General features: G+C 50.0%; 1 protein-coding gene across 6 annotated transcripts in view; it reads right to left on the bottom strand.

The window, feature by feature from the left end:
• The window catches only part of TTBK1 (tau tubulin kinase 1), a 44,778-nt gene extending 32,592 nt beyond the window's left edge, over positions 1-12,186 (bottom strand). For all 6 annotated transcript variants that reach the window (XM_017011364.2, XM_017011365.2, XM_011514947.3 and 3 more), the window contains exons 1-8: positions 11,959-12,186; positions 8,899-9,060; positions 2,781-2,928; positions 2,303-2,376; positions 1,959-2,099; positions 1,016-1,120; positions 553-618; positions 23-115 (exon numbers count right to left, since the gene is read on the bottom strand). In XM_017011364.2, the coding sequence (XP_016866853.1) occupies positions 23-115; positions 553-618; positions 1,016-1,120; positions 1,959-2,099; positions 2,303-2,376; positions 2,781-2,928; positions 8,899-9,006 (735 nt within the window). In that variant the 5' untranslated portion in view covers positions 9,007-9,060; positions 11,959-12,186. The remainder of the gene's footprint in view (positions 1-22; positions 116-552; positions 619-1,015; positions 1,121-1,958; positions 2,100-2,302; positions 2,377-2,780; positions 2,929-8,898; positions 9,061-11,958) is intronic.

Raw genomic sequence — 24,265 nt, 5'->3', positions numbered from 1 at the left:
GACCCAGCTGCCTGGGGCTCACCTTGTCCTTGATCTTCCTCCAGGGCAGCTGGCCCACTGCAAACTCCACCAGCATGTAGAAGAGGGACCACAGGTCGTCGTGGCGGCCCATCTCCTGGAGGTGGGGGGAGGGAGTCACCTGCAGCTCTCAGGTCCTTCCCTGGGAATGGGCGGCTGACCCTTCTCTGAGGGGCATCTGTCAGGGAGGCCTGACACCCAGGCCCCTAAGGACAGAACTGGGGTCTCCCTGAGGCCACAGCTCCATCCCCAACCCTCCAACACCCACAGAGTCCCACAGCCAAAACTACCGTGTGTGCTTCCTCACCGGACAGGGGTCTGTAGTGAGAACAGAGAGGATGGGGTTTCCGAAACAAATGAGGAAGGGGACACTGAGTCTGCCACAGAGGGGCCTTCCTCCAGCCCAGGGTCTCTGGGGTGGCAGATTGCAGCCCCTGCCCCACTCTCCTCTCCCCACCCCTCCCCAGCAGCACACTGCACCCCGACCTTGCCCCTCCCACCTCCACATCCTGCATCCCGGGCTTTGCCACTCACCCGGTTCTTGTGGGCATTGACTGAGGCATAGCGAACCGTTCCTCGAAACCCGGCCACATTCCGAGGCTGCAGAAGGGAGACCACCAAGAACGTCACCCACCATGCCCTCACCTCAGCCACCTCTCAACCCTGCCACCAAGTCTAACTCTTCACCCTGACCACCTCCCCTGGCTGGGGAGGTGGGCCTGCTCTCTGACCTTCCAGTCCTAAACCCGCCTGCTGACCCTGCTCCCTGCCCAGAGTGGGGAGGAAAATCGCAAGGTATGGATGTGGCATCCCCCAAGAGTACAGGCTAACGGCGAGAGGGGACAGGCCGAGTGTGGACACCCAGAGCTGGGTGGCGCTGATACTGAACACAAGGCCAGGCCAGCTTAGGCAGCTGTAAGAAAAGTGGGTGAAGGGTCCCCAGATCTGGGAGTAGGGGGGAGTCCTCCACTGTCCTCCCCGCCCCGACGGTACTCACGGGCCGCACATCCCCCGTGGTGTTGGTGTACTGCCGGGCCAGCCCGAAGTCCAGCATATAGCACTTCCTGTAGGTGGAGGGCAGCCTGCCCATGGCAAAGTTTGACTGGGGGAGACAGCAGCTGTGAGCTCTGGGGGCCCCAACCCCAGCTGGGCCACCTCAAGGGGCACCAAGAAACAGCTCTGCAGCTGGTGAAGGGCTTTCAGCCCCACATTCACTCGCCCGCAAGGAAACGTCAGTATTCACATGTGTGCATCAGGTCACAGCCTCTCATCTGAGGGGTGGGTGTGATCATCCCCATTTTAGAGATGAGGAAACTAAAGGTCAAAGAGCTTAGGAAGCATCTCTGAGATTACACAGCAAGTGGTGACTCAGCCACGTCTGTACAGCTCCACATTTTTGGGACTCCCCAGCAAGGCAATGTGATTTGGTGTAACTGGTGTGGCTGCCTAAGGCAGCAGGCCTGCTGGGTGGCCTTGAACCTTTCAACTAACCTTTCTGGGCCTCAGTTTTCATCTCTTTAAGTTGGAGATTTTTTTCCTAGCACAAATATTCAAGATGCCACAAAATCAGCTACTTGGAACTCCTTGCCAAGCCCCAGCCCCTCAGTCCCCTTCCCTCGATCCCTCCATCCTTTCCCAGCCCCTTCACCTTCCTAGGTTCCAGAACTGTCAGGTCAGGGGCAAGGGATAAGGAACAGAAGGGAAGAACAGAGGAGAGGCCTGGCCATGGCCGAGGGGCAGGCAGGGGTGCATGCTCCTGGGGAGCACGGGAGAGGAAGAGATGGGGCCTGGGAAGGAGAGCAGGAGGGGCTTGGGGAGAAGAGGCTGTCCCATCACAAGTCCCAACCATGGTTGCAGAGGAGAAACCAGGAGACCCAGGGAAAGAATTAGGGGTGTGTTCTGGAGGAGGGAACAGAGAGGCGTGTGGGGGCAGTACTCACAGGCTTGATGTCACGGTGCAGGAAGCCCACAGAGTGGATGGCCTCGATGGACTCCAAGATCTGCTTGCCCAGCCGCAATGTGGTGCTCAGCGTGAAGGTGCCTCGCGGCTGGCTACGGCGCAGGTCGGCCAGGTTCCGGCCCTGCATGGGGGTGGAGGTGGGGGGTAGACTCACCCTCAGCCATCATCCCAGACACCATCATTGTGATACTCTTCCCAGCCTCACCCCAAAGGGTTGTGCCCACTGCCCTTTCCCAGGGCCACAGTCTACCTTCCCTTCCCCTACCCTGGAGTCACAGCCCAAGCTCTTAGAGAGGGGAGCGAGGATGGGCCACGGGGACTCACCTGGAGCTGCATCACTACATAGTTAAACTTCTCGTTCCTGCCACAGCCAATGAACCTGCACACATGGTCCTTCCCTGAGGGGCACAGACATAGGTCTTCCAGCTCTTACTCTTTCTTCCTCATTTCCAACCCTAAGATGGGTTCCTAGTGCACTCTTGATTCCTGGTCCCTCCAGTGCTGGCCCTGTGAGCACCTGTCTTGCCACCTCCCTGGCCCTAGCCTCATCATGTCTCCTAGACTCCAGCTCGATTACTTCCTTGATCACCAACCCGGCCTCCTGCCCCATCACTGTCTTAGACCCCGGTCCCATCTCTCCTAGACTCTGGCTCCGTCACCTCCCCCTTAGCTCCTGGCTCCATCCCCTTTTCCCTCTACCACACGACATCTCCTCCCTCACCCCAGCTTCTGATCTTATCACCTCTCTTAGCCCCTGGCTTCATCATCTCTTCCTTCCCATCCCCCTGCCCGAGGCCCGAACCTTGCAACTTCTTGAGCACGGCCACCTCCATCTTGAGGACCTGCTTGGGCTGCTGGGCTGACTCCACCTTGAGGGCCACATTCTCCCTGGTCAGCAGGTCCATGGCCTCGTAGATCTCACCAAAGCCCCCGCCCCCGATCTTTTTCAGCTATGAAGATGAGGGGATAGGGGGTGCTCAGGGATCAGGCTGAACAGCTCCTCATCCCACCTGCTGCTTGGTTGCATCCTTCATTGGTGGGGAAGGGGGGTATCTTTTTTTTTTTTTGAGATGGAGTCTCACTTTGTCGCCCAGGCTGGAGTGCAGTGGTGCAATCTCGGCTCACTGCAACCTCCGCCTTCCGTGTTCAAACAAACGTCTCACTCTCCTGAGTAGCTGGGACTACAGGTGCACACCACCATGCCCTCCTAATTTTTTGTATTTTTAGTAGAGACAGGGTTTCACCATGTTGGCCAGGCTGGTCTCAAACTCCTGACCTCAGGTGATCCAGCTGCCTCGGCCTCCCAAAGTGCTGGGATTACAGGCATGAGCCACTGTGCCCGGCCAGAAGGGGGTATCTTTGAAGGGGCGAACCTCATGTCTCTCTTCTTTGCCCCACCCCATCAGCACCCCACCTCCTCTCCTAGTGCCCTGGGACAGACAGCTCAGCTCCTGAGCAACCATACACACACACACACACACACACACACACACACACACACACACAGAGCCAGATGTCAGGAAAGGGTAAAAGACCTGTGACCCCGTATAGACATGGAGAAAGCCTAATGTAGGATTCTGAGGAGACACTGGGCCGCCCTTGACCTTTTCTTCTCTAGAAGGACAACAAATATCATGTTCCCCCATCCCCTGTGTAGACTGAGCGACCCCTATCCAGAAGGAAAACCAATTGCCAGACCTCCCAGTCTCAGGGCGGATTGATCCCCTGGGGAAGCCGGCACTTCCTGGGATTGGCAACCACCCAAGAGTCACAAGAAGGAGAGAGTATGTGGGCAAAAGGGGATTCAGCAAAGGATGTTCGCGGCCCATGCTCACTGCCGAAGTTCACGTCACATCACTCCCTAGGTCCCTGTTCAGATGCCCACAACCAGGATGAGCCTCCTCTCCAGGGCAGGGGGCACTGTGAGAGCGTGGTGGGACCGGCGCCTGGAGGGAATGGAGCAGCGGTCTGACCCTCTCGTCTCCCCCCTCCAGCCTCCCAAAGCAGGCGTGAGAAAGGCGGGGAGGAGAACCGCAATAAAGTGAAGGAAGAGCTGGCAGGGAGCCAAGCAAAGCTGAGTTCTGGGGAGGGGCTCAAAATCATTTCAGCTCAGAGGCCCGGGGGTCCTGGAGGGTGAGGGCTTTGCTGGCAGGCATGGGGAGCAGGGAGACGGTGCCGAGTTCCAAGCTGAGACTGGTTTGGTTTTAGAAAGATGTACATGATCTCAGAGGAGGTCCACTGAAAAAAGAAAAAGAAAGAAGGATGGAGAGCTTGATGCTCACCCCCTCGGGGAGCTGCCTCACTGGGGGCCTGTCCGCTCTGTGCACCTTCCCAAACCCTCATTCTGTCCTGCTGGCTTGCGACTCTGATCAACCAGCAGACTCTGGCCGCTCAGCCTCCTGCATCTCTGAACCCGCCCCGAACGTCTGTTCAGTACCCAGATGACTTGTGATTGTTTAGTGGTGATTGACACTGCGGGATGGAGGGAGGAAGACCAGGCGGAGCTGGAGGGCTGGGAGTTCCCAGGTTACCATTGAACTCACTCCAGAAAGAGACAGGAGCAGGAAGGGAAGATATGGAAAAGAAGCAGAATGCTGGGTGGGAACTTCAAGGTGCTTGTGTCTGGGAAGGAGACAGGGAAAGAGGAAGGAGGAAGAACAGTGAGAAACCAGAATTCCTTTCTCTTAGAGATGAAATTTAAAGGCAGGATCTCAGAGCCAGGAGGGGACAGACTCAGACTAACTGGAAACAACGGCATGTCTGCCTCTGGGGTACTTTAAACTCTGGGGAGATGCGAATATCTTCTAGATTCCTTTAAGGTTTGCTTGTGCGAGAACAGAGGAAAGGGCAAAGGGGAGGGGAAAACCGCATCTTGGTCTCACAAATGTCATCTCAGTTAATCCCCAAAGGCTCCTGGCAACACAGGTGAGGAAGGTCATGTGATTCCCCATTTTGCACAGAAGGAGAACTGAGGCATGGGAAATGCAATACCTTGCCCCACATCACACTGCTAGTTAATAGCAAAGCCAGGTCCAGGCGCGGTGGCTCCCGCCTGTAATCTCAGCACTTTGGGAGGCTGAAGTGGGTGGATCACCTGAGGCCAGGAGTTTGAGCCCAGCTTGGCCAACATGGCGAAACCCTGTCTCTATTTAAAACTACAAAACATTAGTGGGGCGTGGTGGCGGGCACCTGTAATCCCAGCTACCTGGGATGCTGAGGCAGGAGAATCACTTGAACCCGGGAGGCGGAGGCTGCAGTGAGCTGAGATCACGCCATTGCACTCCAGCCTGGGCAACAAGAGAGAAACTCCGTCTTAAAAAAAAAAAAAAAAAAAAAAAAAGCAAAGCCAGGCAGTTTTCATTTAAACCCAGGCAATCAAATGCAGAATCCATAATGTTACAGAAACTGTGGACCCATCAACATTAAAAGTGTGAGTGCTGAGATTCAAGCCCAGATCTGCCAGGCTCCGAAATCATTGCTAGAGATAAGTCAGGAAGGCTCGGGACAGCCAAGACATTTATGACACCTACTTCCCAATTTCCCAGGGTGCCCTAGGGTATTTCTCTACCACCTTCATTTCCCAGCAGAACCTATTTCTCCTTCTTTACACCCCTTCTTCCCCACCCACCCCCCACCCATTATGGAACCTCCATAAGACAGGGAACTGGGTATCTTCACCACCCACTCCACCAACAACCCTTCTCCCTTGCACCACAGCTAGGGCTGACTTATCCATGAGACACAGTGACTAGGCCCCGATACCTTTAGGGGGTCCATGAAAATGTTTTAATTTCTTTTAAAATCATAAGGGAGGCCAGGCATGGTGCCTCACGCCTGTAATCCCAGTACTTTGGGAGGCTGAGGTGGGTGGATGACTTGAGGTCGGGAGTTTGAGATCAGCCTGGCCAACATGGTGAAACCCCATCTCTACTAAAAATACAAAAATTAGCCAGGTGTGGTGGCGGGTGCCTGTAATCCCAACTACTCAAGAGGCTGAGGCATAAGAATTGCTTGAATCTGGGAGGCAGAGGTTGCAGTGAGCCGAGATCTCATCACTGCACTCGAGCCTGGGCGACAGAGTGAGACCCTGTCTCAAAAAAATAAAATTAAAAAAAAAATCATCAGGGGAAAAAAATGAACCTTTAGGTCAAAGAGAACAATCTAGTATATAATATTAATATATTCCTCTTTATACCAATGCAGTCATAAAATACAATTTTAAGTACTTTCTTATGGAGGAAGGGGCCCATGAAAGTCACAATGTGGCCCTGCCCATAGTCCAGTAATAGGAATATTCTCTCAGTCTCCCTTTTCTCCACTCCTGCTAAATTTTACATGATCTCAGCCCCTGCTGAAGGACCTCCCTAAACTAGAGGAGAAATATGACACAATAGGATCGGCACTGGTCCTTGGGAGGAAGGAGACCTGGTTTCTTGGCCAGCTCTGGGTGACCTGGGGTGAGTTTCTTAAACTCTCTGAGCCTCCACTCTTCCTCCTCTGTGAAATGAATAGAGTTGGACTAGAATTGGTCACAAAGGTTTCTTCAGCTCAGTGGTCCTGATTCTTGGATGGGCTGATTCTTGTCAGACAGACCTGACAAGAATCAGCCCATGACACCTACTAGTCATGGAAATTTGGCAAATTAGCTAAGCAATTTCCTCAGTTTCCACACCTGTGAAATGGGATTAATAAATGGGAATACAAATCTACTTGGTAAGTTCTTGAGATAATGCACATGAGGCATTTTGCACAATGCCTGGCAACAGTGAATGCTCAAAACAAATACTAAGTCATTATTACTATTATTGTTTGCTATTCTGATTCTGAGAAGCACCCCTCAAGATGAATAAGATGTTATTATTTTATGTTTTTAGAGACAGGTTGACCAAGCTGGATTTGAACTCCTGGGCTCAAGCGATCCTCCTGCCTCAGCCTGCCAAGTATTGAGGATTTATTTATTTATTTAGAGGAGGAGTCTTGCTCTGTCGCCCAGGCTGGGGTGCAATGGCATGATCTCAGTTCACTGCAACCTCTGCCTTCCAGGTTCAAGTGATTCTCCTGCCTCAGCCTCCCAGGTAGCTGGGATTACAGGCGCCCACTGCCACACCCGGCTAATTTTTGTATTTTTAGTAGAGATGAGGTTTCACCGTGTTGGCCAGCCTGGTCTCGAACTCGTGACCCCAAGTGATCCTCCCACCTCAACCTCCCAAAGTGCTGGGATTACAGGTATGGGCCACCATGCCTGGTCCACGTATTTATTTTTAAATGCCACATCTAGTGCCACTGACCCCCTTTTTCTTCTGGCCACCAAGATCTATGGGCAGTTTGCCTTGGTTCTTGAGCTCTGCCTCCCACCTCAGTGCCATCCTCACTTGGAACAGGCTGAAGGGAAGCATGTGGCCCCTCACCCTCTCTAACACTCCAGGGGTGGGGGTCGGAGGTGAGGAGAGGTTGCCATGCTTGCCCTCCCCCCAGCTCCCTGCTCCATTTCGCTCCCCACTCATCTTCTACTCCTTCCCTCAGAAATCACAAAAAAGTTCCAGCCTAAACTCAACATGTGTGTAAAAACTGTCTTTTCCTCACCACTTCAGTGCAAATGTCATTCTGCCTCCAATCCGCCAGAAACTAAGCTCCGGTGCCAGGGGCCCCGAGGTTTCAGAGGAACACTCCTGTCTTCGCCAGACCCTCGTTCCTTTTATTACTGCCCTGGCTCTTCCTCCCCCGATTTCTGTACTCTCCCTCTCAGGAAGTCCCCCTCTGGGACATAAACAGCCCCTTTCCTCATCCCTTGGGGACCCCTAGAAGTCTCCTCCTCTTCATCCCTTCCACTCCCAACCCCCAGTCCCAGAGACATCTCTGAAAACGTCGCCACCGTTGCCTCTTTCTAGGTTTCTAGGGGACTTGCACGGCCGGTGGCTGTTGCCGTGGAGACCCGCCTGCACCCGGGCCTCACCCTCCTCTCCAACCCCGCACTCCCGTGAACTGAGCCTCCCCACTAAAGCACGCGGGTGCGCACACGCGCCAAGCACACACGCACACACACACGACTCAGAGGTCAGGAGTGTACCTGACCTCTGTTGTTCTCCCTCCCCTCCCCCTGGCTCCCCACTCCGGTGCAGTCCCACAGGCTCACACACGGGTTTCCCCACACTGCCGCCCACAGTCTGCCCCACATTATCCTGCCCCCACAATAATAAGAGGACACCAGAGCGCTATTAAGTGACGGAAAAAGGGAGGTGATTTACAGTAGGTCTCGCTCCCCAAATACTATCATTCCCCCAGCCCTCACGCCCCCGCTCCGAGGCAGGCCCGGCTCCCGAGGAGGCTGAGACTACAACTCCCAGCAGGCCGAGCAGCCCGAAGCCCCGGGCTGGAGGAGCAGGGCACGCCGGGAGATGGAGTCTCGCCGTGCTGCACCTGCCGCAGGACCCGGCGAGGGGAGGAGGCTGGATGGAGAAGATGGAGTGCGGGTGCGGCGGGAGCAGCCTGCAGGGCCTCTTTCCCCAAACCCAAGCCTTTCCGTCCTCTGCGGAAGCGGAGGGACACATGCTCGTCCACTGCCCTTCTCCAAGGTCCGTCAGAGAAAAAGCTCCCTCCCCCACCCCTCTTCCTCCTCCGCCACACTGGCCTCTGCAGCTCCTGCCCAGACATCCAACCAGGAGTTGTTCCGGGCTTGGCCTGACCAACGTGACCTAGCGGGAAGAGGGGTGAGAGAGGGCGGGGCTCGAGAGAGGGCACTGGGAGAAAGCTATTGTCCACACGTGTTGGCAAAAATAATGACATGCAAGCAGTATGCAAATGAGCTTAGAGGCACCTCCCTCTTAGGGTAGGGGAGCGGAGGGCACCGGTTTTAACAAGTCTCCAGGTCCTCGCCTCCCTCCCCGCTACCCTCCCTCTGTCCCGCCGGGTCACTCACTCACCACCTTCCAGCGATCCTTGACCACGTAGTTGGCCGGCAGGATGTCGGCCTGCTCCCCTCCCCCACTCATGTTGGTTTCGTCCTTAAGGGCGGCCGCTAGGCACTGCATCCGCCAGCCAGAGGGAGGGGTGTCCGCCGGGCCTGCCCTGAGGGGGCCATCTACCTAGGGGAGTGAGGAGGGCCTGTGAGGGCGGGCTGCGGACCCAGGACCACCTGGCAGATATGGAGGAGAGGAGCTCCACTCCTGCTCTGCATTCTTCCTGGCCCCACTGGACAGATGCTCCAGGAGTTACCAGGGGAAAGATTGTATAAAGGCCAGTGCAAGGGAGATACAGACTACAAACTAGAGATGTTTAAAATCAGCAACAGGACACACATGTTGACCAATGAAGAAGAGGAAAATGACAGTGAACAGGCCGAGGGGAGAGAGACATACTCTAACTGATGCCAGGAAGACTTGCTGACCAAGGGGGCATACCAGACTGGGACCCTTTCCCTTGTAGGGGAGGCCTGGGCTTTGGCTCCCCCTTAGGGGAGTCCCTGTGCCACAAAATGTCCATGGAGCTGTGCAACAGAGGCTTAGTGAAAAGGGAAGACCTGCTACCCAAGGGGTGACCCATGGGACACCCACACCAAAGTGACCTGCTAATCAGCCCTGGGAGATGTGGTAATCAAGAAAATGAGGGGAGGCACTAAAGCCCCTTGAGGGTGGTGTTAACTGAGGGGGATGGATGTGCTGAGAGTCATACACCTTTCTCAGGGTGAGCTGAACCCACTGACACAGCCATGGGGTTGGGAGGTCAGGATATAAGAGATGGGGTGAACACAGGTGATGGACTCAAGACATGGATTTCAGATAGACAGCAACCTTGTGGCCACTCCAGAGGGACAGAAGTGGGCTGAACTGGGGAGGACAGGAAAATGGAAGGGGCCTAGCAGGAGGCAGGAGAAGTGAAAGAGAACAGCAGGTCTGGGTGGGCATGGGGTGAGAAAGCCTCTGACCACACCTTTCTGTGTCTGCTTAGGAATCGACAAGAAAGAACACATCTCTCCTCGAATTAGGACAGGTAGAATTTAGATATCAGGGAGAGTTTCCCAACGGCGGGGGTTGGGAAAGACAGGCACATGTTACCGGAGAAATGCCCATGTGTGCGTGTGTGTATGTCTGTGTGTGTATCTGTGCATGTATCCTTCTGTGTGTGTATGTTTCTTTGTGTGTCTTTCTTTGTCTATCTTTTCTGTGTGTCTGTGTGCTTTTCTACATGTATCTCTGTATCTGTGTGTTCTTGTGTGTGTTTTGTGTCTGTGTGTGATATGCATGTGTGTAGGCAAGGGGCCAGAAGACATGACTTTCTGAGATTTCTGCCAACCCAGGACAGGATTTGGAACCAGGATATTTTCCTCTTCTCTTTCCCTCACACTTTTTAGAAGCACACTACCGTGCCCTCACAACGACCCTGGAGAGTCACAAATAGAGAAAGAGGGAAGTTACTTAGGCTGGGGTTTGGGGGTTGCGGGTCGGGGGAGGAAGGTGGCTAAAGAGATGTATAGATGGGGTAGAAACTACATAAACCCACCTTTCCTTGGGATGAAATAACTTCCCAGGGCTCTTGCATCTAGACATCCTGCCATAGGGGACAGGGTGGGACGTGGAGGTGTGGAAACCACCTTCTAATTCATGATGGGCCATGGTGGACATATGGAGAAGGGATCTTCATGGGGAGGGACGCTGCCACTCCTTTTCTCTTTCTTCAAGTGACTAAGCTGAGCTGTTTCCTCCAATCCTTACAACTTCAGAGCATCAGGACTTCCCTCTTTCTGCCAAAGTGGGATATGGGGCATCAGGAATTTGAAGGGCAGTGAGGGCAGTGGCAGGATGAAGGGAGAGGTAGGGATGGGGGTTCTAGAATAAAGGTGGAGGAGACAGGTTGAGGACAAGACTGAAGAAGCAATTGAACTGGTGGGAGGGGGCCTTCAGAAGCTAAACTGGGTGAACTCTGGTGGGCTTTCCAGTCCTGGGACAGTGGATCTGTTAGGTTGATAAGGAAAATTTGTGTCCTGCTCTCATTTTATAGATGAGCAAACCAAAAAGAAACAGATGAGGCAAGAGAAGGAAGAGTGGAGCCAGGAAGATAAATGAGGGTTACCTGCTTCTCCCTCTCCACCCTCCTTCTCTCTGTGTCTGAGGACTATGCTCAGCTGAGACTGGGTTGGATGATACAAACATGGGACACTTGGCTGCCCCGTTACTGCCGCCTCAGACCCCTATGTGCACATGGGCGCATGGTGAAGGCGAGGGCTTATGCAGGAGTTTGTATGAATATCTGTCAGAGAGTGCAGATAGGAGCATGTGGGGCCAGTGATGGTACACAGGGGTACGTGGAACTGGTGGGAGCTCATCATGGCCTGTGAATACAAGTGTTGATGTGTAACTCTGCAAGGTGTCAGCAGGTGTGTGTGAGAATCTGGGAGCCCAGGTAAGGAGAGGTGATGGAGACTAGCGAGGGGTGATGGGAACAGGTGAAAGAGGTGTGGAGGGAGGCAGAGGGGAATGGCAGGGATGAGGAGCGACAGGATCAGAGGAGAGGGGTGGGTAGGATAGAGACCCGTGAGAGATAATGATGACAGGCAAGGAAGAGATAGGACCATGGGAGGGATCTCTGGGCACAGTTGAGGGGGTGAGGAAGTAGGTAAGAAGGCAGGTGGGAGGCATGGAGGGACTGAGGACAGGGAGGGAGGTTACGGAGACAGCCGAATGATTCGTCAGGGATGACAGGAGAGCCAGGGGTGAAGCCATGGGGACAGGGGACGGAGGTGAGTGGGGAGGAGCAAAGTGCCCGGAGGACGGGTTGGGGAGGGAGGTCTGTGTGCTGGGGACAGGGAGCGGCTCCAGGCCTCGGCGCGGCCCAGGCGGTGTAGGCCAGCGTCCCAGCCCAGCGGGCGGCGACAGCAGCGCGGAGGGGAGCCCAAGAAGGCTGCGCTGGGAGGCGAGCCAGGCGGAGCCCCCTGAGCCCACGAAGGAGCCCCCGCCCCGACCCCGGCCCGCCCCGCCCCGCCTCACCTGCTCTGTGCCCGCTGCGGCTGCGGCTGCGGCGGCGGCGGAGGCAGCAGCTCGGGGCGGCGCATCCCCCGGGGCCGGGGCGGGGCGGGGGCGGCTCAGTGCGGCGTTGGGTGACCCGCTCCCTCCGGCGGCGGCGGCCTTCCGACCCGGATCATCCCGGCCCGGCCCGGCCCCGATCCTCCTTGGGCGACGGCGGCGGCAGCGGCAGAGCGGGGAGCTGCCCACAATGCACCGCGCCGCCAGCATCAGCACCAGCCCTGACATCACCGCCCGCCGCCCGCTCTGACATCACGGCTCCTCCTCTGACATCACGTTCCGACGGCCCCGCTCCGCTCTCCTCCAGCCCTGGGACTCTCTGGCTGTCCCGCTCCAGCTCTCAGGTTCTCCTTACAGCTCTCTGCCACCCGCTTGACTCCATCTCCCAGCACAGCCCCATCACTCCTTACCTGTTCCCATAAAACTCACCTGTCTCCATCACCCTTTATCTTCCCCACTCCTAGCATGTCTAAAATTCCTCATCTGACCCATCAGTCTCGCCTGATTCCCCACTCCATCCTCTACATGTTTATATCGCCTTCCTCTCAACTCATCCCCCTCTCCTGTACCCATCCTCCCATACGTCCCCATCACCCACCACTTCTGGGACCATCCCACACTCGCACCCACCACCCGTCATGTGCAATTCTCACCTCACCACCTATATGCTTTATCTTTTGGCTCAATCTGTGTCTCTCTTTCTTTGGCCCTTTCTTTCATTTGTGGACAAACTCTGCCATTGGTTTTTACTGCTTACCAAATAAGATGGACACTCTTTACTGTAACATCAAAACATCTTCCCAACATGGACCCATTAGGCCATTACTCCCCTTCTGACATGTTGGGTTACTCAACAACTCAACATTCCAACATTCCTTGAACAACACATTCTGCATGCCGCCTGTCTCTTTCAGTTTCTTCCTTCTTTTTTTTTTTTTTTTTTTTTGAAACAGGGTCTCACTCTGCTGCCCAGGCTGGAGTGCAGTGGCACAGTCTCAGTTTATTGCAACCTCTGCTTCCTGGACTTAAGCGAGTCTCCAGCCTCAGCCTCCCAAATATTTGAGACTACAGGCATGAGCCACTATCCCCGGCTAATTTTTGTATTTTTTGTAGAGACGGGGTTTCACCATGTTCCCCACGCTGGTCTTGAATTCCTGAGCTCAAAGCCATCTGCCCACCTTGGCCTCCCAAATTTCTGGGATTACAGGCATGAGCCATTGTGCCCAGCCAGTTCTTTCCTTCCTTAATGCCTTCAACAAATGCATCAGAGCAACTTGAATAATAATAACAACAACAATGGGCCAAGTGCAATGGCTCATGCCTATAATCCCAACACTTTGGGGGACCAAGGCAGCAGGATCGCTTGAGCCCGGGAGTTCAAGACCGGCCTGGGCAACATAGTGAGACCTCATCTGTACAAAAAATTTAAAAATTAGTTGGGTGTGGTGGTGTGCACCTGCAGTCCCAGCTACTCGGGAGGCTGAGGGGGGAGGATTTCTTGAGCCCAGGAGGTCAACACTGCAGTGAGCCGTGATTATGCTACTGCATGCCAGCCTGGATGACAGAGCGAGACTCTGTCTCAATAATAACAACAACAACAACAACAATTGCAGCAGTTATTTACTTCTGCCAGATACTACTCTAACTTTACATATGTTAATTGCTTTAATCCTGATGACAACCCTATGAAGTAAGAGTACTATTGTTATCCCTTGTTTTATAGATGAGGAAACTAAGATACAGACAGGTTAAGTAATATGCATTGGGTTACACAGCTAGAAAGTGGCAGAGCTGGAATTCAGTCCCTGGCTCTGGAGTCCATGGTTCTAATCACCACATTGGGAGGAAGGATCATTGAGCCTGCAAGAGTAGTCAGGGAAGGCTTCTTGGAGGAGGTACATTCAACTGTAATTTGAGGAATTAGTAGAATTAGTAGAAGTTTGCCAACAGACAAGTGGGGCCAGGGCAGAGCATGAAAGAGACTTCCAGGCTGAGAAGACAGCATGAGATGAGGCTGGGGCGGGCGTGTGCAAGATCATGAAGGACCTTGTGTGCAGTGCTAAGAAGATTAGATTTTATCCATTTGGTTTTTGGAACTGTAGTGGATACTGTGGAGAGCCATTCAGATCTCCCTCCAGAATGTAGGTGCTTATTCTCCCAGATATGAGATGTTGAAGGCTGACTGCTTTCAGCTGACCTGTTCTCTGGGAATTGCCCTTGGCCAAGGGAGCTGCCTCATCCAAGATCATACCCCCTTCCTGGGACATCCCACATCCAGTTGATGAGTATAAAGGCCTGACCCCCTTGCTTCAACTGGGGACAGCTCTGAAGGGATATCCTATTTTCAAAATTAATAGGGACAGCTGAGGCTTCTATTGAGACTATATCAGAGCTCAACTTCCCCTTCCATGCAACCTTGCCTTCTTCAGTCCTCCACAGAGGTTGATCACCAGAGCACTTCCCAATAAACTTACTGTGCGATCATCTCTGTCTCAGAGGCAGTGTCCTGGAGAGCCTGATTTTCAGATAGGAAACCACTGAGGAGTTTTGTGCAAAGATGAGACATGGTCTGATGTGAGTGTTGGGTTAGAATTCTAGTTTCTTTTTTGCTTTTGTTTTCAGTACTTTAAAAATGTTGCTCTATTGTCTTCTAACTTGCATTGTTTCTGATCAGAAATTTGCAATTATCCTATCTCTGTTCCTTTGTATGAAATACATGTCTTTTATGCATCTGTTTTTTGCTTTGTTTTGTTTTGTTTTGTCTTTTGAGACAGAGTCTGTCTCTGTCACCCAGACTGCTGGAGTGCAGTGACACTATCTAGGTTCACTGCAACCTCCACCTCCCGGGTTCAAGTGATTCTCCTGTCTCAGCCTCCCGAGTAGCTGAGATTACAGGCATGCACTACCATACCCAGCAATTTTTTGTATTTTTAGTAAAGACAGCGTTTCACCATGTTGGTCAAGCTGGTCTCAAACTCCTGACCTCAAATGATCTGTGCGCCTCAGCCTCCCAAAGTGCTAGGATTATAGGCATGAGCCACCGCGCCCAGCCCAATGCCTCTGGTTTCTTTTAAGATTTTCTCTTTGTCACTGGATTTAGCTATGTAAGCTATTTTATGATGTGTCTTTTTTACATAGTTCATGTTTTGTAGGGAAAAGAGAGATCAGACTGTTACTGTGTCTATATAGAAAGGGAAGACATAAGAGACTCCATTTTGAAAAAGACCTGTACTTTAAACAATTGCTTTGCTGAGATGTTGTTAATTTGTAGCTTTGCCCCAGCCACTTTGCCCCAGCCACTTTGACCCAGCCACTTTGACTCAGCCTGGAGCTTACAAAACATGTGTTGTATAAAATAAAGGTTTAAGGGCTGTGCAGGACATGCCTTGTTAACAAAATGTTTACAAGCAGTATACTTGGTAAAGGTTGTCACCATTCTCTAGTCTCAATAAACCAGGGGCACAATGTACTGCGGAAAGCCACAGGGACCTCTGCCCTTGAAAGCGGGGTATTTTCCAAGGTTTCTCCCCATGTGATAGTCTGAAATATGGCCTCGTGGGATGAGAAAGACCTGACCGTCCCCCAGCCCGACACTCGTAAAGGGTCTGTGCTGAGGTGGATTAGTAAAAGAGGAAAGCCTCTTGCAGTTGAGATAGATAGTGGAAGGCGACTGTCTCCTGCCTGCCCCTGGGAACTGAATGTCTCGATATAAAACCCGATTGTACATTTGTTCAATTCTGAGATAGGAGAAAAACTGCCCTATGGTGGGAGGCGAGATATGTTTACAGTAATGCTGCCTTATTATTCTTTACTCTGCTGAGATGTTTGGGTGGAGAGAAACATAAATCTGGCCTATGTGCACATCCAGGCATAGTACCTTCCCTTGAACTTAATTATGACATAGATTCTTTTGCTCACATGTTTTTTGCTGACCTTCTCCTTATTATCACCCTGGTCTCCTACTACATTCCTTTTTGCTGAAATAATGAAAATAATAATCAATAAAAACTGAGGGAACTCAGAGGCCGGTGCCAGTGCAGGTCCTTGGTGTGCTGAGTGCCAGTCTCCTGGGCCCACTGTTGTTTCTCTATACTTTGTCTCTGTGTCTTATTTCTTTTTTCAGTCTCTCGTCCCACCTGACTAGAAATACCCACAGGTGTGGAGGGGCAGGCCACCCCTTCATGTTTCTTGTGCTTGGGTTTGAGATTCTTGTATCTGTGCATTTATAGTTTTCATCAAGTTGAGAAATTTTTCAGCCATTATTTTCTTAAATATTTTTTCTGCCCTCCCCTTTCCTTCAAGGACTCCAATTACCTTGTGTATTAGGCCACTTGAAGTTGTCCCACAACTCAGTGATGCTTCACTTTTTCCCAGCCGTTTTTCTCACTGTGTTTCATTTTGGATAGTTTCTATTGCTGTGTATTCAAGTTCACTAATCTTTTCTCTTACAGCATCTAATCTAATATTAATTCCATCCAATGTATTATTTTTCATTGTTGTTTACAATTCTGGAAGTTCGATCTGGGTCTTTTAAAATCTTCCATATCTCAGTTTTTTCTTCTAACTTCTTAAACATATGGAATAATTATAATGACTACTTTAATATATTTTCTACTAATTTTATCTAAACAATTTCTGGATTAGTTTCAACAGATTTTTATTCTTACTATGGGTCATATTTTCTGCTTCTTTCCATATCTACTAATTTTTTACTGGATGCCAAATACTGTGAATTTTACCTTGCTGAGCCCTGTATATTTTTATATTTCAGTGAATATTATTCAGCTTTCTTCTGGACTGCAGTTAATTTTTAAGAAGCAAAAACAGGCCGGGCATGGTGGCTTATGCCTGTAAATCTCAACATTTTGGGAGGCAGATGCAAGAGGATTGCTTCAGCCCAGGAGCTCAAGACCAGCATGGGCAACATGGAGAGACCCTGTCTCAAAAAAAAAAAAAAAAAATCAAAAATCACCCAGGCATGGTAGCATGCATCTGTGGTCCCAGCTACTTGGGAGGCTGAGGTGGGAGGATCGCTTGAGTCCAGGATGTCAAGGCTGCAGTGAGCCATCATCATACCACTATACTCCAGCCTGGGTGAAAGAGCAAAATGCTGTCTCAGAAAAAGAAAAGAGAGAGACAGAGACAGACAGACAAAGAGAGAGAGAGAGAGAGAGAGAGAGAGAGAGAGAGAGAGAGAAAAGCCAGTTTGATCCTTTCAAAGTTTACTTTAAAGTTTTATTAGCTTAGACCAGAGCAGCGTCCAGTCTAGGGTTAATATTTCTCTGCCACTAAGGCAAAACCTATTTTTTTTTTTGCCACCAAGGCAAAGCCCTATGAATTTTCCGTATGAGCCAGTAGGAACAGGCACTAGTTCCATCCCTGTATGAGCTCAAAAATTGTTAACTCTGTGGCTTTCAGATGTTTTTCCCTACCACGGATAGTTCCCTCATACACATGTGTTGATCAGTCCTCAGCTATCTATTCATGGAACCCTCTGAACCTCTCCAGAGCTCTCTCTCCTGTCCTGTACGCTCTCCTGCAAACTAGTGGCCTTGGCCTCCCTGGACTCCCAGCTCTATCTCCTCGATCAAAGAGACAGCCAGGCTCAGCCTGGGTTCCTCCATCCTGCAGCCTGGTAACCTTGTAGGCAATAAGCTGGGGCAAATATAAAGCTCGTCTACTTTTTTTCAGTCTTTCAGGGATTACAGTACTGTTCTGTGCTGCCTGATGGCCAGTGTTCAAACATTATTGCTCTATATTCATATATTCTGTCCAGTTTTTTAGTTGTTAAAGATGGGAGGGTAAATCTAGGTCTTCTGCTTCTTGGCCAGAAGAAGACATTTGATCTGGGTGTTACACGGCAGGAGTGTGAGGATAGACTGGAAGAGCTTCCCCAGATGCTTGATTTCTGCCTTCTTTGAGTCACTCAGTCCTTTGCACATTAATGCATGGCGTTAGCCTGATTTCTCCTATTCTTGAGCTAAGGCTGGCTCCTCCCAAAGCCAAATGGAGTCAAAAATCTCAGATGCTCTTCTTTACTCCTTTCTGTAGCTCTGTTAGTGCCCATTGAATGTCTCACACAAAATAAATGCTTTTAAAGTGTGTCGCCAACCTGTACATTAAAAGGGATTTAAGGCCGGGCACAGGGGCTTGTGCCAGTAATCCTAGCATTTTGGGAGGCTGAGGCAGGAGGATTATTTGAGCCCAGGAGATCCAGACAAGCCTGGGCAACCTGGTGAGACCTCGTCTCGTCTCTCTGGAAAATAAAAAATGAATTTAACAAAAATTAGCCAGGTGTGGTGGCGTGCTCCTGTGGCCCCAGCTACTCAGGAAGCTGAGGTGAGAGGATCGCTTGAGCCTAGGAGGTCGAGGCTACAGTGAGCCATGATCATGCCACTGCATGCCAGCGTGACAGAGCAAGATCCTGTCTCAAAAAAATAAATAAAGGGGACTTAAAAGATAAATAAAAATAGGTAAGGTTAAACTATACTGTCTAGAAATGCACATTTGGGTGATAAAACCATAATGAAACTTAAGGGGCCGGGTGCGGTGGCTCACGCCTGTAATCCCAGCACTTTGGGAGGCCGAGGCGGGCGGATCACGAGGTCAGGAGATCGAGACCATCCTGGCTAACACGGTGAAACCCCATCTCTACTAAAAATACAAAAAAATTAGCCGGGCCTGATGGCAGGTGTCTGTAGTCCCAGCTACTCGGGAGGCTGAGGCAGGAGAATGGCGTGAACCTGGGAGGTGGAGCTTGCAGTGAGCCGAGATCGCGCCACTGCACTCCAGCCTGGGCGACAGAGCGAGACCCCGTCTCAAAAAAAAAAAAAAAAAGAAAGAAACTTAAGGACCTTTAATGAGTTTTTGTCCTCACTATAAAAGTAAGGGCAGTGGTTACTTTTGGAGGGAGAAAGGTGGCTGTTTGGGATGGTGCACATGGAAACTTCTGGGTATTTGAAGATCTATTTTGAGATGATATGGGTGCAAGAGTGTTTGTCTTATAATAATTCATTTGTTTAGGTGGTTTTCTGTAGCTGGGTTTGATTTTATAATAAAAGTATAATTTTATTGGTATACCCCCGCATGAATGAATGAATGGTGAATGATTAATACATCTGGGCATTGAGTATCAATGGTTGCTCACATCAAAACAGAGAGACATCCAGATGCTATGTGCCCATGTTGGGATTACACACCACCCCTTGTGAAATAGTGTTGCCCAAATTCAACCTGAATCTGACTAACCCTCTACATCCAACTCCAATGTACAGGAAATAAGGAATATAGAGGAACATGTCCAAAGACATCACAGGGATATAATTGGCAAACTTCAGACTGAAGGAAACTGCAGGATGAGAGAGAGAAAGATAGAATATACGGGGGAAATGTATATATTAAAATAGACTTAAAAGGCATGTCAACCAATCATAATATGCGGATCTTGATTTTAAATAAATTACAAACATTTATAACATTTGTAAGACAAGAAATTTGAACACTAATGGAATATTTGATGACATTAAGAAAATCTTGTTAAATTTTTCATCTATGATATGATAATAATATTTTAGTTCCTTTTTTTAATAAGATGGGGTCTCACTATGTTGGCCAGGTTCGTCTTCAACTCTTGGCCTCAAGCAATCCTCCCACCTCAGCCTCCCAAAGTGCTAGGATTACAGGCATGAGCCACCAAGCCCAGCCTTGGTTACATTTTTAGTAAAAAAGAGTTATCTTTTAGAGACATATATAAAAATATTTATAAATGAAAAATGTAATCTGAAATTTGCATCAAAATAGTACAGTGAGGAAATTTAGTATGAATACAGATGAAACAAGACTGGCCATAAATTGATAATTATTAAATCTGATACTATTTTCTCTACTTCATATTTTGCTTTGTTAAAAAGTTTTACTGTTGCAAATGGCAGGATTTCCTTCTTTTTAAAGACTGTTTAATATTCCGTTATACACACACACACACACACACACACACACACACACACACGTATTGCCACCACATCTGGCTAATCTTTTAAATTTTTTGTAGAGGCGGGGTCTTGCTTGTTGCCCAGGCTGGTCTCAAACTCCTGGATTCCATCAATCCTCCCACCTCAGCCTCCCAAAGTGCTGTGATTATAAGCATGAGCCACAGTGCCTAGCCTACTGTAGCTTCATAATATATTTTGAAATCAGACATGAATGAACATGGAGGGCATTATAGGGAAATAAGCCTGTCACAGAGGGACAAATAATGCCTAAATTCAACTCATATGAAGGATGTATAATGGGCAAACTCATAGAAGCAGGCCAAGCCTGCTAACAAAAATTGGCCAGGTATGGTGGCACCTGCCTGTAGTCCCAGCTACTTCGGAGGCTGAGGTGGGAGGATCACTTGAGGGGTCGAGGCTGTAGTGAGCTGTGATGCCGTGATGGTGCCACTGCACTCTAGCCTGGGTGACAGAGTGAAACCCTGTCTCAAAAAAAAAAAAAAGAACCTTTCTGTCACTCCCAAAATGTTTTCTTGTGCCCTCTGCAGGCAATTCCTGCTCCCACCCCCAGCCTTAGGCAACCCCCAGCATTTGGTCTGCTTTCTGTCTCACCAAATATGCCTTTTCTGGACATGTCAAATAGAATCATATGATATGTAGTCTTTCGTTATTCTCTGTATCAGCATATAAATTTGACATTTTCCATAATAAATATAATTTTTGTTTAATTGAACAATGACTTACATATGTATAGCACTTTATTTTTAAATGGACTTTATTTTTTAGAGCAGTTTTAGGTTCACAGCAATACTGAGCAGAAGGTACAGAGAGTTCCCACACACCTCTGCCCCCACAAATGCACAGCCTCCGCCATTATCAACATCCCTACTGGAGCGGTACGTTTGTTACGATCGATGAACCTACATTGACCATCATTATCACGCAAAGTCCATAGACTACATTAGGGTTCACTCTTCGTGTTGTACACTCTATGGGTTTGGATAAATGTATAATGACATGTATCCACCATTATAGGATCAAACAGGGTAATTTCACCGCCCTAAAAACCTCCTGAGCACTTTGTGTGTGTGTGTGTGTGTGTGTTTTGTTTTGTTTTGTTTTGTTTTTTGAGACGGAGTTTAGCTCTGTCGCCCAGGCTGGAGTGCAGTGGCGCGATCTCGGCTCACTGAAAGCTGCGCCTCCTGGGTTCACGCCATTCTCCTGCCTCAGCCTCCCGAGTAGCTGGGACTACAGGCGCCCGCCACCATGCCCGGCTAATTTTTTGTATTTTTAGCAGAGACGGGGTTTCACCGTGTTAGCCAGGATGGTCTCGATCTCCTGACCTCGTGATCCGCCCACCTTGGCCTCCCAAAGTGCTGGGATTATAGGCGTGAGCCACCACGCCCGGCCTTTTTTTTTTTTTTTTTTTTTTTTTTCAGACGCAGTTTCACTCTTGTCACCCAGGCTGGAGTGCAGTGGCACGATCTCACTCACTCCGCCTGCCTCGGCCTCCCAGAGTGCTGGGATTACAGGTGTGAGCCACTGTGCCTAGCCTATATTTTGTAATGTGCCTTCACATACTTCACTGCACCATGCTCAAACCAGGTGAGTAGGGCAGGATAACATTTCTTACCAATTTTATAGATGAGGGAACAGGCTTGGAGAGTTTAAAGGACCTGACCAAGGTCACAGAGATAGTAATGGAATCAAGATTGGCCTCCTGGGGCCGGGCACAGTGGCTTATGCCTGTAATCCCAGCACTTTGGGTGAAACCACATCTCTACTAAAAATACAAAAATTAGCTGGGCGTGGCGGCGGGCACCTGTAGTCCCAGCCACTTGGGAGGCTGAGACAGGAGAATCGCTTGAACCTGGGAGGTGGAGGTTGCAGTGAGCCGAGATCACACTACTGCATCCAGCTGGGGCGACAGAGCAAGACTCTGTCTCACAAAAAAAAAAAAAAGAAAGAAAGAAAAAGAAGACTGGCCTCCTGTCACCTGGTGAGATATTTTCCCTGTCAAGCTGCCTCGCTAGGCTCCCCACTGCCCTCATTCCTCCATCCCATCACTTAGTACCCTGTTCCTCCAACTCGGGCCTCTCTGCATTGAGCCAGAAGGTCTGAGCTGCAAGTCATGGCTTGCTCTGAGTCCTCACCCAACTGACAGTGGATTAGAACCAGTCTCAATGCCTTGTTTCCCAACTGGAGAAACACAAAATGTCCCTTCTACACTTTTACTCTTCTATTCAAAATATCCCTTCAGCCTGAGGTAGAAAGGAGATCCCAGCCAGAGCAGAGGTGTGGCCCCCAAAGAGATGGGGGCTGGCTGGTTTATGTATTGATTTATTTACTTATAAGATACAGAGGCCACTTTAGGAGGCCGAGGCTGGCAGATCACCGGAGGTCGGGAGTTCAAGACCAGCCTGATCAACATGGTGAAACCCCATCTCTACTAAAAATACAAAATAAGCCGGGCGTGATGACACATGCCCCGTAATCCCAGCTACTCGGGCAGCTGAGGCAGGAGAATTGCTTGAACCCAGGAGGCGGAGGTTGCTGTGAGCCGAGATCTCACCATTGTACTCCAGCCTGGGCAACAAGAGGGAAACCCTCTCTCAAAAAAATAAATAAATAAATAAAAAGATACTGAGGAACAAGATGGTGTGTGTGTGTGTGTCTGTGAATGTGTGTTCCTTGTCTTTGGGGGGGAATGGAGGGAAGGTGTGAGCGAGGATAAGGAGTGTTGGGGAGATTGCCTGTCAAGTCTGCTGGCACATGAGGCCTCCTTCCTAATCTGTGTATGCATGTTTGTGTGTGTGTGAGAGAGGGCACCCGGAGGTGGAGGGACAGGTGTGCAGCTGTGTCTTCATGTTTGCCCCATGGTCCGTGTATACCTAGCTGGGCCCAGCAGAGCAGTGGGCAGAAATACTCTGAAATCTCTATCTCCCTTTTGTATCTTAGCATTAAAAATATACATATTGTTGCATCTTCTCTGCACTCGCATACTTCAGTATTTTATCTTTCAGGAAGAATACGGAAGAAAACACTGATGGAGCTTTCCTCTGGGGAGTGGGGCTGGGGTCTCAGGACTTTCTTTCCACTGCATACTCTCTTGTTCCATTTGAAGGTTTTGTCATATATTTGTGATTGTCATAATAAAATGAGGATGAAATCAGTATTGGTGAACAATGAGTGCTTGCCTGTCTCCCTGAAGATACCGCCTCTATCAGCCTACTTACTACAGGGCTGAGCAGACTGTGAAGTGCTGTGAAATACATCCTCTCATTTAAACCACTCATTCATTCAACAAATATTTAATAAATGTTTCTTATGTGCCAGGCATAGTTCTAGAAACCAGGGATAGGCTAGGCACAGTGGCTCACACCTGTAATCCCAGTACTTTGGGAGGCTGAGGTGGGAGGATTGCTTGAGCCCAGGAGTTTAAGATAAGCCTGGGCAACATAGTGAGACCCCATTTCTATAAAAAATTAGCCAGGCATGGTGGCACTCGCCTGTAGTCCCAGCTATTCAGGAGGATGATGAGGGAGGATTGCTTGATCCTAAGAGTTTGAGGCTGCAGTGAGCTGTGACCATGACACTGCACTCCAGCCTGGGTGACAGAGCAAGACACCATCTCTTAAGAAAGAAAAGAAAGAAAGAGAAAAAAAGAGAAAGAAAGAAAGGGAGGAAGGAAGGGAGGGAGGAAGGGAAAGAAAGAAGAGAGAGAGAGGAAGGAAGGAAGGGGAAAGAAGGAAGAAAGAAGGAGAAAGAAAGAAAAAGAAAGAAAGAAAGAAGAAAGAAGGAGGAAGGAAGGAAGGAAAGGAAGGACGGGAGGGAGGAAGGAAGGAAAGAAAGAAAAAGAAAGAAAGAAGAAAGAAAGAGAAAGAAGGAAAGAAAGAAAAGAAAGAAAGCAGGAATACAGCAGTGAACGACCTTCTACTAGGTATAGAAAAACATGCAACAAAATTAATAAGTTATATGGTGTATGAGAAGGAGAAAAGGCAAGGTAGGGAAGGGTGATAGAGAGTACTGGGGGATGGAGGGCTGCCATATTGAATAGGGTGATCAGGGAAGGTGAAGTGTGAACAAAGACTTGAAGGAAATGAGGAGTGAGCCAGGAAGCTACCTGGGAGAACAGTGTTCCGGGCAGAGGGAACAGCAAATGCAAAGACTCTGAGGCAAGGGCATGGCTGACATGCTTAAGGAACAGCCAGGAAGCCAGTGAGGTGGCAGAGAAGTGAATGAAAGTAATAGAAGCTGGAGTTAGGGAAGTAAGAGGGTGA

Source organism: Homo sapiens, chromosome 6 (genome assembly GCF_000001405.40).
Source record: "Homo sapiens chromosome 6, GRCh38.p14 Primary Assembly".
Classification (NCBI taxonomy): Eukaryota; Metazoa; Chordata; class Mammalia; order Primates; family Hominidae; genus Homo; species Homo sapiens.
This window is presented reverse-complemented; position numbering and strand designations above follow the sequence as displayed.